The sequence below is a fragment of the Homo sapiens genome, chromosome 3 (genome assembly GCF_000001405.40).
Source record: "Homo sapiens chromosome 3, GRCh38.p14 Primary Assembly".
Lineage (NCBI taxonomy): Eukaryota > Metazoa > Chordata > Mammalia > Primates > Hominidae > Homo > Homo sapiens.
This window is the reverse complement of record NC_000003.12, coordinates 125,887,263-125,900,073: the sequence shown is the minus strand read 5'-3', so window position 1 is coordinate 125,900,073 and position 12,811 is coordinate 125,887,263. Positions and strand designations below refer to the sequence as shown.

Below are 12,811 nucleotides of genomic sequence, written 5' to 3'. Positions count from 1 at the left end.
GCCTTCCCTGGTGTGTGCAGTGAGTGATGAATGCTTTCCTGCTCAGCACCCACTACACAGTGGGCTGGGTCTCATTACTCTGACTCCTCCTTGAGCTTCAGTCCGTGCCTGGTTCTAGATGTATTGACTCAACTCGAGGATCCAGAAGTGGGATGTGGCTCTGGCCTGGCCAGAGGACAGAGGATGCTGCATGCCATGGCTACAGCAACTGGTTCAGTTTGGGCTCATGTCCTAGTCAGAGCCAATGAGATATAATCTTGGGATATCTGCTGGGCTGTTGGGAAAGGGACAGGCTGCCCTGTTCATCCCCATTCCTGATGCTGAGGGATCTGAGAAAATCACTTGTAAAATTTGGGGGTGTTTGGAAGAAGGGGAGACTGATGTCTCCTTCTCTCTACAGGCATCTGATCAGCTACAGAGCTTGACTGACCTACCCAGAGGCAGAATGATATGGTGGTTAAAATTGTGCTCTGGGCCTGTAGGGGTGGGTTGCCTTTCCACACCTGTGGGTGTTCCTCGAAGAGGGGGATGTGTCAGGGTCACAAGACAATTGTGGGGAGAGGGTCAGCAGACAAACACGTGAACAAAGGTCTTTGCATCATAGACAATGTAAAGGGTTAAGTGCTGTGCTTTTAGATATGCATACACATAAACATCTTAATGCTTTACAAAGCAGTATTGCTGCCTGCAGGTCCTACTTCCAGCCTTAAGGCGGTTTTTCCTTATCTCAGTAGATGGAGCATACAATCGGGTTTTATACTGAGACATTCCATTGCCTAGGGACAGGCAGGAGACAGATGCCTTCCTCTTGTCTCAACTGCAAGAGGCATTCTTTCCTCTTTTACTAATCCTCCTCAGCACAGACCCTTTACGGGTGTCGGGCTGGGGGACAGTCAGGTCTTTCCTTTCCTACGAGGCCATATTTCAGACTATCACATGGGGAGAAACCTTGGACAATACCTGGCTTTCCTAGGCAGAGGTCCCTGCGGCCTTCCGCAGTTTTTGTGTGCTTGGGTACTTGAGATTAGGGAGTGGTGATGACTCTTAAGGAGCATGCTGCCTTCAAGCATCTGTTTAACAAAGCACATCTTGCACCGCCCTTAATCCATTCAACTCTGAGTTGACACAGCACATGTTTCAGAGAGCACGGGATTGGAGGTAAGGTCACAGAATCTCAAGGCAGAAGAATTTTTCTTAGTACATAACAAAATGGAGTCTCCTATGTCTACTTCTTTCTACACAGACACAGTAACAATCTGATCTCTCTTGCTTTTCCCCACATTTCCCCCTTTTCTTTTCGACAAAACCACTATCGTCATCATGGCCTGTTCTCGATGGTCGCTGTCTCTTCGGAGCTGTTGGGTACAGCTGCAGACTAACAACAGACAAAACAGGCACACAAGGATTAATATGAGATTTATAATTGTAGTACTTCCGATGGTCTTAAGTGACAGGGTTAAGATTTGCGAGGCCATCAGCAACTCCTGCAATTGCCTCAGTTCCTGGCACTAAATTTAAATGGGCTTTTGATGCTTCAAAAATTTGTTCTTTTAATTTGGAAATGTCTAAAGTGAGATTATCTTCTCTTCCTTGTAGATGGCGTCTAACTATGTCCTAGTGATGCTCAGACTCATTATAAATTTGGGGTGTAATACAAAAATCTGACGTATTCCAGTCACATTGTAACGTGAAACGATGTTCTAAGCTCATGAGTCTGTCTCCTATCCAAATGACAGTTTTTTTAAGATCATTAATTTGATTTGCCAATTTTTGATCAATACTAGATTGTGAATTCCACAATCTTGTAGAATTTTTTTGCCAATCATTAACAAAGTTTACTGACTGAACAGAAGAGTGCAATGCAACTTCTGCTACAGCAGCCGTAGCTGTGACTGCAATTAATCCTATAATCACTGCAATTAAAGTAAAAATGAATCTTTTGGATCTATTTAAAACACCTTTTAATACTTCAGTCAAAATATAGACGCATGGCGAGGCCTCCTACGGTCGGTCCATGGACACAGGGATCCACACGCCCTCTCTTGCTCTCACTAGCAGAATACGGTGTTGCCAATTAAAAGTTGAATCAATGCAAGTAAGCAATCTACAATTTTCACAGGTTATAGTCTGGGAGTCTGGTTTAATAACTATATTTCCTACAACTAGCATATAAGGGGGCTTTACGCAACTTTGTAAAGGAAGTGTTAGACTGGAATTTAGGTCGATAGTATAAAATGGCTTATGATCTCTTGTTTCTAAAGTTTGATTTCCAGACCAAATTCTAATGTGGTGTGAGGCCACAGTAAGCCTCCATAATTCTGGATGTTCAGGACCAGAAACAGGACTTATTATTTTTGGTCTTGGGGTAGAGATTCCTTTTTCTCCTCATTCCTAAGGGTAGAAAGACTGCAATTTTTTATGCTTATGTTTGTCTAAACTTTCTGTTAAGTCGCTATCAACAGCTGGACTCACTTGTGCACTTGGACACGGCTGAGTTTGTCCTGAGCAATTGTGGTAGAATTGACCTCGAGGTGCCTAATCTATAATAGTTCCGAATTCATTGTTTTGTAATATCACCGCACTATTGGCCACACATTCTTCCTAAACTAAAACTTCTGTATTTTTTGATTCTTTGGGAATTTCCTTGAGGCAAGGTTTCCTTTTAGGTCTAAATTTTAATGATCTTTGATAAGAAAAGTCTTGTAAATAATTTACCTGTGGCCTGAGTGACATCCCGCTTACCATGTGATAAGTGAATCTACTGATGGGACTGACAGTAGGTACTTCTACTAACCAATTTTGGACTGCAGGCATTAAACATCCTGGTGCTCTCCCTAGGCAAATAGGAGGATAACGATACCCAATGGAAATATTTATCATCATCCTTTCTTCCTCAGGTTTGGCAGGGCAGCGATCATCTGTGGGGCCAGGTACCCATACACTATCATTAACATATACTTCTATAGGATTATCCATCCATGTGACTGCCCAAATTAAGGGCGGGAAAGGCACTTAGGCCCAGTAGGTATAGTTAGCTGCAGCTGCTCCTGCAGGCATAGGGAGACTTACCACCATTGATACAATCATCAAGGCTGCAAGCAGCATACTCTCTGGGGTTTGTGTCACCTTTGTGTTCTCTAGATATTTTGTAGCTAACTGTGTCAGCTTCTTTAGTTGTGCCCAAGTCGGTGGCTCTGCCTTCTTGGTGGATGGCAACTTCATCTCTTCTTCTGACGTCACCATTTTGTTCATCTTGTGAGTCAACGGTGCTCGATTGTGGTGTCTCCGTCTCCACGGATGTGCTTTTCTTTGCATCTCTGATGAGTTCATTGTAGAACTTCAAATGTCTAGTGGGTATCCAAACAGGAAGCTGATTTTCTCCTGGTGAAACACAAGCAAAACCTCTCCCCCACATTATCACCTTCCTTATTTCCCATGTCTTATTTTTATTATCTTTCCACCAAATTAGTTTTCCTTCATGTGGGCTGTTCTTTTTAGCAGTAAGATGTTGTTCTGCAGAAGTAGTAGTCTAATTTCTATAAATGTTTAAAAAATGTAAAGTATAGAGTGCTAGATTAAGTTGCATCTGAGGAGTGGTACACTCCTTACTGTCTCCCCCTTCTTTTTGTTTAACTAATTGAGTTTTGAGTGTTCTATTAGTTCTTTCAACTATGGCCTGTCCTTGGGAATTATAAGGAATTCTTGTTGTATGTGAAATTTTCCACTGACTTAAGAACTTTTGGAAAGCTTTACTACAATATCTTTGTCCATTGTCAGTTTTGATTTTTTCTGGAACTCCTATTACAGCAAAATAAGACAATAAATGTTTTTTAACATGGGAAGTATTTTCTCCTGTTTGGCAAGTTGCCTATATGAAATGTGAATAAGTATCAACTGTTACATGAACATATGATAATCTTCCAAATGAAGGAACATGCGTGACATCCATTTGCCATAATGCATTAGGACACAGACTTCTGGGATTAACTCCTGCCTCTTGGGTGGGCAGGTGTAAGATTTGACACTGGGTGCAATGTTGTACAATATCTTTTGCCTGTTTCTATGTGACATCAAATTTGTTTTTTAATCCTGCTGCATTTACATGAGTCAAAGCATGAAGTTCTTGTGCTTTTATGAATGCAGATGATACCAGTAAGTCAGCTTGTTCATTTGCTTTAGTCAAAGGCCTTGGTAAATTAGTGTGTGCTCGAATATGAGTAATATAAAATGGGAAATTTCTTTTTCTTACAATTTGTTGTAATAAATTGAATAGCTGGTTTAACTGATCATCCATGCTATATTTAATTAGAGCTGTCTTAACATCCTTTGTAACCTGTACTACATATGCAGAATCTGATATAATATTGATAGGTTGGTCAAAATCTTGTAACACTGTAATGACTGCAACCAACTTTGCTCTTTGAGTCGGTTGATATGGAGTTTTGATTACTCGTTCTTTCGGCCTTGTGTAAGCTGCTTTTCCATTGCTGGAACCATCAGTAAATACTGTTAGAGCATTTTCTAAAGGTTCACATCTGGTAATTTTAGGTAGAATCCAAGTAGTCAATTTTAAGAACTGGAAGATTTTTGTTTTTGGGTAATGATTATCAATAATTCCTACAAAATTAGCAAGACCAATCTGCCATGCACCAGAATTGATAAAGGCTTGTCTAACTTGTTCCTTGGTTAAAGGGACAACTATTTTGTCTGGGTCATTTCCACATAATTTTATTATTCATAATCTTGTCTGACCAATTAATGTAGCTATTTGATCCAAGTACAATGTAAAAGTCTTAACTGTACTGTGAGGAAGGAATGACCACTCCACAAGATCAGTATTTTGAATAATGATGCCTGTTGGAGAATGTGCAGTGGCAAAAATTAAAAGATGGAGTGGGGCTAAGGGATCTATTCTATTTATTTGCGCTGACTGAATTTTTTCTTCCACTAATTTAATTTCTTTTGTTGCCTCTGGGGTTAACATTCTTTTACTATTTAAGTCTGAGTCTCCTCTTAAGATAGAGAACAAATTTGACATGGCATAAGTAGGAATGCCTAGAGTTGGCCGAATCTAATTAATATCTCCTAGCAATTTTTGAAAATCATTTAGTGTTTTTAATGTGTCTTTTCTTATTTCTATTTTTTGTGGCTTAATTTTTCTATTTTCTATCTGCATTCTTAAATAATGAAAAGGAGTAGAGGTTTGGATCTTATCAGATGCTATTGCCAGACCTGCATTGGCAACTTCTGCTTGCAGAAATGTATAACAGTCAATTAATTTATCTTTCGTTTCTGCAGCACATAAAATATCATCAATATAATGAATAATATAACAGTCTGAAAACTTTTCTTTAACTGGTTGAAGAGCTCGACCTACAAAAGTCTGACAAATAGTTGGACTATTAAGCATTCCTTGAGGTAACACTTTCCACTGAAACCTGGTGGCTGGTTCTTTATTATTTATGGCTGGTATAGTAAAGGCAAATTTTTCACAATCTTGCTCCACCAGAGGGATGGTAAAAAAGCAATCCTTTAGATCAATTATAATTAAAGGCCAGTCTTTTGGGATCATGGCCGGAGAGGGCAACCTAGGTTGGAGAGGCCTCATGGGTTGAATTACGGCATTTATGGCCTTTAAGTCAGTTAACATACGCCATTTGCCTGATTTCTTCTGAATTACAAACACAGGAGAATTCTAAGGCAAGAATGAAGGCTCAATATGACCTTTTTCTAACTGTTCATTTGCTAATAAATGTAAAGCCTCCAGTTTTTGTTTTGGTAGCGGCCACTGATTTACCTACACCAATTTTTCTGTTTTCCAAGTTAATGGTATGGGTTTAGGAGGCTCTACAGTGGCCGCCCCTAAAAAGGATACCCTATTCCTTCTCTTTTTTGATTTATTTTAGCCTCAACTGGAACTTTAATGCCATCTTCATTTTTCCTTAGTCCTTTTCCTGGTATATATCCTATCTTGGTCATGATTTTTTGACTCGTGGGGCTATATAATGGAGCGGGCATGGTGATTTCTGCACCCCATTGTTGTAATAAATCTCAACCTCACAGATTAAGAGGAATTGAAGTAATCATTGGCTGAACAGTACTTTCTTGATTATCTGGCCCTAAGCAATGTAAAATCTCAGTACTTTGATACACTTCTGAGGCTGTGCCTATGCCAACAAGTCCTGTAACAGCCTTTTGTTTAGGCCAATTTTTTGGCCACTGATTTAAAGCAATGATGGAGACATCTGCTCCAGTGTCTACTAACCTTTCAAACTGTTTTCCTTGAATAATGGCCTTACACACAGGTCTGTTCTCTGAGACCTGACTTGCCTAATATGCAGCCTTTCCTGTTGGATCAGTGCTTCTAAACCCTCCTATTCTTTTTATTTCACTATTTCCACCCTTAATATATGGCAGGAGTAATAATTGAGCAATCCTGTCTCCTGGACTGGCACCTCAAGGAATTGAAGAGCTAATAACCAATTGAATTTCGCCTTTATAGTCTGAATCAACTACACTAATATGAATTTGAACTCCTTTTAGATTTAGACTTGATCTTCCTAAGATTAGTCCTACAGTCCCCTCAGGCAGTGGGCCATATACCCCTGTGGGGATTTTTTGTGGGGACTCCCTTGGAAGCAGAGAGACTGCTTGTATAGTACATAAATCTACTGCTGCACTGCTGCTTGTGGCGGGGGACAATTGTTGTATTGTGGTAACTGGCTTATTCCTTGAAACACTTGGGACAGGGGGGGTTGTTGTCCCTGAAAACTTTGAGGAACAAATGGCTGAATTGGGAATGCCCCAGTTTGTTGTGGGGCCTGAGGCTGGCCTCTTTGCTCGTTTCCTGACAATGGTTGCCTATTTTTATCAAATTTAGAATGACATTGACTAGCCCAATGTTTTCCTTTTTTACATCTTGGACATAAGTCAGGTGGCTCTCTACCTGTTGTAGTTGCTTGAATAGTTATATTCTGTTTGTTTAAGACTGGGCAATTCTTTTTTAAGTGACCAATTTGACCACAATTATAACATTTTCTTCTAAATGTTCTAACTTGTCCTCCTAAAACAACTCCTGTTATTGCTTGAGCCATAAGCATAGCTTTATGCATATCTCCTCCGATTCCATCACAGGCTTTTACATATTCTGAGATTACATCTGATCCTGTAGGAACCTTTCCTTTTAATGGCTTAATGGCTGATTGACACTTAGGATTGGCGTTTTCATATGCCATCAACTCCACTATGACCTTACGGGCTTTTTCATCGGCAATTGACTTTTGAGCAACATCTTGGAGCCTTGCCACAAAATCAGGGTAGGGCTCTTTCGAACCTTGTCTTACTGTATTAAATGAGGGGCAGGCGCTTCCTGGGTCTTGGATTTTTTCCTAGGCTCTAAGGCAGATAGCTCTAACTTGCTCAATGGCCTCATTTTGCATTAATGCTTGTTGACTAATAGTACTCCAATTTTGACCTGTTCCTAATAGTTGATCTGCATCTATGTTAACTGGAGGATTGGCAGCCCTATTTCTTCGGACCTGTTCTTGTACTCTATCAATCCACCAAGTCTTAAATTGTAAAAATTGAGAGGGTGAGAGAGACGATTTTGCCAGAATCTCCCAATCATAAGGAATGAGTCTATGTCCATGAGCAATGGAATCTAATAATGTCCTCATATAAGGGGAGTTGGGTCCATACTGTTTTACTCCCTCTTTCATATCTTTTAGCATTTTTATCGAAAAAGACTTGTATCTGGCCTCAACTGTGGGAGGCTCTCCCTCTTGGGCTCCTTCTCCAGTTGGCATCGGTTCTAATGTTACTGGGAATTGCCACGCCTCAGTATCTCCTTCCTTTCTTGATTTATCAATAATTTCATGTAATTCACTACCCTGTCTACTAGGTGGTGCCATAGGATTAAGTCTCCTAGTGGGCAGCTGAGGGTATGGCGCCCTGCCCTGTGGTGCTGGGGGCATTCCTGGATATCCATACTGACTTTCTGGGGGTGGCCGATACTGAAGTTCAGCCGGCGGCCAGTATTGATAAGCTTCTGGCGGTTGGGTCTTATTTTCTTTAACCTGCATTTGAGGTTGTAATGTTACAGGCACCTGACCTGCTGGAAGAGGACTTGTGCCTCATGGTTTAGACTCTGATGGCCCCACTAATTCTGGACCTTTTCCTTCTAATTTTAACGTTTCAGGTTATATCACCTCTTGTAATTGATTATAGTCAACATTTTGCGTTGACTGAGCCATTACCGGCTCTGCTACATATTCGCAATGTAAACTTTCCGTTTCTTTCTGGGATTTTTTCCTTGTCTTTTCATTACAATCTATTAAACAGCTTCCAGGGGCATCAGAAACTGAAACGCTATCTTCTTCTGTTTGAAATGGTTCTAAAGCTGCTTTAATAATGGCCCAATCATTCCATACTGTAAGTGGAATGATATTACCCTTCCTACCTGCTTGTTTTAGTTCCTTACCAATTCTTTTCCAATCTTTTAGATCTAAAGTTCCTTGTTCTGGAAACCATGGGCAAAATTGTTCTATTATTTGAAATAGCTTGATTAGATTTTTTGTAGATACTTTAACTCCCCCTCTTTTTAAAAGAATTTTAATAAAGCTGAGATGAGAGGCATATTTACTTTTAATTTTACTTTTAGTTTGCCCCATTATCACCTTAGCTTCTTCTGAGCACACAAGCTTACCGTAAGGCTGACTGTAGACGTACTTGGGATCTCTCGTCGACTTGTCCTCAATGACCACGCTCGAGCGTACCTTCACCCTAGAGAAAAGCCCCACGTTGGGCGCCAGATGTAGGGGTGGGTTGCCCCTCCACACCTGTGGGTGTTCCTCGAAGAGGGGGATGTGTCAGGGTCACAAGACAATTGTGGGGAGAGGGTCAGCAGACAAACACGTGAACAAAGGTCTTTGCATCATAGACAATGTAAAGGATTAAGTGCTGTGCTTTTAGATATGCATACACATAAACATCTCAATGCTTTACAAAGCAGTATTGCTGCCCGCAGGTCCCACCTCCAGCCCTAAGGCGGTTTTTCCTTATCTCAGTAGATGGAGCATACAATCAGGTTTTATACTGAGACATTCCATTGCCTAGGGACAGGCAGGAGACAGATGCCTTCCTCTTGTCTCAACTGCAAGAGGCATTCTTTCCTCTTTTACTAATCCTCCTCAGCACAGACCCTTTACGGGTGTCGGGCTGGGGGACAGTCAGGTCTTTCCCTTCCCATGAGGCCATATTTCAGACTATCACATGGGGAGAAACCTTGGACAATACCTGGCTTTCCTAGGCAGAGGTCCCTGCGGCCTTCTGCAGTTTTTGTGTCCTTGGGTACTTGAGATTAGGGAGTGGTGATGACTCTTAAGGAGCATGCTGCCTTCAAGCATCTGTTTAACAAAGCACATCTTGCACCGCCCTTAATCCATTCAACTCTGAGTTGACACAGCACATGTTTCAGAGAGCACGGGGTTGGGGGTAAGGTCACAGAATCTCAAGGCAGAAGAATTTTTCTTAGTACATAACAAAATGGAGTCTCCTATGCCTACTTCTTTCTACACAGACACAGTAACAATCTGATCTCTCTTGCTGTTCCCCACAGGGCCGAGATCTTGCCACTGCACTCCAGCCTGGGTGACAGAGTGAGACTCCATCTCAAAAAAAAAAAAAGTGTGCTCTGGGCTGGGCGCAGGGGCTTACAACTGTAATCCCAGCACTTTGGGAGGCTGAGGCAGGAGGATCGCTTGAAGTCAGGAGTTTGGGATCAGATCCTATCTCTAGAAAAATGATTTTTAAAAATTAGCTGGGTTGGTGGTGAATGCCTGTAGTCCCAGCTACTCAGGAGGCTGAGGCAGGAAGATTGCTGGAGCCCGGGAGTTCAAGGCTGCAGTGAGCTATGATCAGGCCACTGCACTCCAGTTTGAGGGACAGAGAGAGATCCCATCTCCCTAAAGAACAAAAAAGTGTGCTCTGGTGCCACACTGCCTGGTTAGATCCTTTGTCCACCACTTAGATGCATGTTATATAAATGCTGTCTTCAATTTCCTCATCTGTAACTTGGGGATGATAATGCTGTCCCATGAAGTGGTTGTGGGGACTAAATGTACGTGGGCACATTGGTAAGTATTCAACAAGCTTGATTTTTCCTGGAGAGGGAGAAAGAGCATACAGTGAAGTGGCATGGTCAGGTGCATTGGGGCAAGGATTATTTCCTCTGGCTTCTGCCTCCTGGGAGGTACTAAGGATGGATCTGAAATGTGTCTGCAGACCCCAGAGTTGGGGACTGCAGAGGGAAATTGAGATCAGGGACCCCAGTCTGGCAGAAATGGGTGCAGCATGGGGCATTGGGTTCCTTCCATCAGAGGCATGGGGTGTGTTGCAGACAGTCATGAGATGTGGCTGAATCTTGCAAGGGAGCCACTGTCCTAGGGTTGCTGCTTGAGACAAAGACCACTGTCAGTGGAACCTGGTGACCTTCACCCTTCTGTGTCAGGCTGCAGACAGCAAGAGATGGCAGCAGATTACACCCAACAGGAAAAGGGCCATTGCTATCCCACAGGTTGCCATAGGAGGGGATGATATCTCTTCCCTCTCCTCCTCCAGCAGTGTCAGCTGGGGAAGAGGTGGGTTGGTGTGCACAAAAGAGTAGACCGCAGACCATGCTGCTTCTCCTCCAGTCTGCTGGGGCCCCAAGAGAGTCTGCAGCCCTTGGCCAGGGACCGGCTGACACAGGAGAACAAAAGATCTCAGGCTGGGATAACATGGTGGTGCAGTTCATCCTCTGGAGCTCCCTGTGAGATCAGACTGGAGCCAGTCTCCAGCTGAGACCACATCTCACTTAGCTCCTTCCCTGCCATATCCTGTTTTCCTTACTCCTATCTCCTGAGAGTCCTGAATGAATTACATGCACTCAATCCGTGCCTCAGGCTCTGTTTTTCGGGAACTTGACCTAAGACAGATATCTTAGTACTAAATACTTTGCAAGGCTTCAGAAGCTCTGCTATCCACAGGCAGGTGAGATATTACCTTCCCTACCACCTGGCAGTCATAGTCTATGATGCAACTCAGCTTTGTGGAAGTGCTTCTCTAAAGAACTTCCCCCAATTTAAGATGATCTTAATTTGCTTACTTGTTTACTGTCCATTCAGCTGCTCTAAAATGTGAGCTCCAAATCAGGGACCATGTCTGGTTGGTTACCCATTTCCTGGGACCTAGAACGGGCCTAGCTCAGAGCAGGTGCTCACTATTGATGGAATGCATGTTGAAAGAATGCATGAATCTCATCTCCTTTTGTGGGTGAAAATCTCATCCTATTCTCACTCCTGATTAACTTTCTTTCTTTTTTTTTTTTCAAAACGGAGCCCTGATCTGTCACCCAGGCTGGAGTGCAATGGTGCCATCTCAGCTCGCTGCAACCTCTGCCTTCTGGATTAAAGCAATTCTCCTGCCTCAGCCTCCCGGGTAGCTGGGATTACAGGTGCACACCACCACGCCCGGCTAATTTTTTGTATTTTTAATAGAGACAGGGTTTTGCCATGTTGGCCAGGCTGGTCTCAAACCCCTGACCCTGTGATCTGCCCGATTTGGCCTCCCAAAGTCCTGGGATTACAAACATGAGCCACCGTACCCAGCCACTCTTGATTAACTTAATGGAAATATTTAGAGATTCTTTCTTTTCTGGGTTCTAGAGTCTTCTCTGTAACCTCTGCAGGTAATACATTTTCCTTCCTGATAAAGCATTTCTATGGTTGCTTTCACTTGCAAATCCTCTAATACTTATTTATTCCATTTCTGATTGGCATTAGACATAATTCTCAATTTTTAGTGACAGCACTTTTGTTAACTTACATATAAATCGACTTTGCCTTGAAATGTGACATTGACTAGAAGGACGACACTTCTAACATGTTGTAGAACATAGTTTGACTGGCTAATTTATTATTTAGAAGAAGCTAATATTGCCATTATGAGGGACTTAGGTGGCTCTGAAGAACAAGTTGTATTTCTGATGTTTGCAATGTTAAATCACAGATATTGCCAATGTGAAATAGTTTCCGTATGCTGTGTTCTCAATACACACCTTTTCCAAGGATATCCCAAGCTGTAGTCTTAGGAAACTGTGATTTTTCTTATTTGGTCTCATAGGAATTTGGGGAGCTATGCGGGATCTCCATAAAATGAGCTCCAGAAAGACACATGTGTGCGCGCACACACACACACACACACACACACACTCACACATGTACCGCACCACAATTGAATCTGTTTATTTGGGACCCATGATTATTTTCAACAAACACTTCTGAGAAATAATCTGAACACTTAATTGGATGCAAAAGAGTGAGTATTTACTATTCTACCCTTTAATTAGCATAATCAATGTTTCCAGCAGCAAAAGCAATTGGAAAATCGCTAGTTTTATTAGGTTCATTATTCTCCCTTAGCGTAGTGTGGCATCAGCATGGCTATTATTCTTAAATTGCCTCCTTAAAACAAGGGCTGGTGCTTCTTACAGGCCATTCCTAACTCTTGGGTTTTGTAGAGAGTCCAAAACTCTTTAGAACCTATAATTCAAGGAAAGGCTCCACTTTGGTTTTGCATTTTGTCTGGTCTCTTTGGCTGACAGAATTTATGTCAAAAGGTGCACATGTTTGTGGGAGGCTCATGGACAGCCCATCACGTTTGTGCTTTGGTAGGAAGTACGTGCCATTAAGGGGAAGGAGTTAGTTACTGATTCTAGGGAACAATTGGGTAGAAAGAGATGGACTCCCTGTGTTTGAAATTCAGAACTCAAGCT

General features: G+C 42.1%; 1 pseudogene, besides 1 other annotated feature; it reads right to left on the bottom strand.

Annotated features, from left to right (window-relative positions):
• The window catches only part of ENPP7P4 (ectonucleotide pyrophosphatase/phosphodiesterase 7 pseudogene 4), a 61,192-nt pseudogene that overhangs the window by 9,341 nt on the left and 39,040 nt on the right, over window positions 1–12,811 (bottom strand).
• Window positions 8,753–9,648: an enhancer, noted in NCBI's record as "NANOG hESC enhancer chr3:125609269-125610164 (GRCh37/hg19 assembly coordinates)". NCBI's record gives its function as "activates a minimal SCP1, AML or CMV promoter by ChIP-STARR-seq in primed H9 embryonic stem cells {active_cell/tissue: H9 hESC(primed)}" and the evidence as "EXISTENCE:reporter gene assay evidence [ECO:0000049][PMID:30033119]".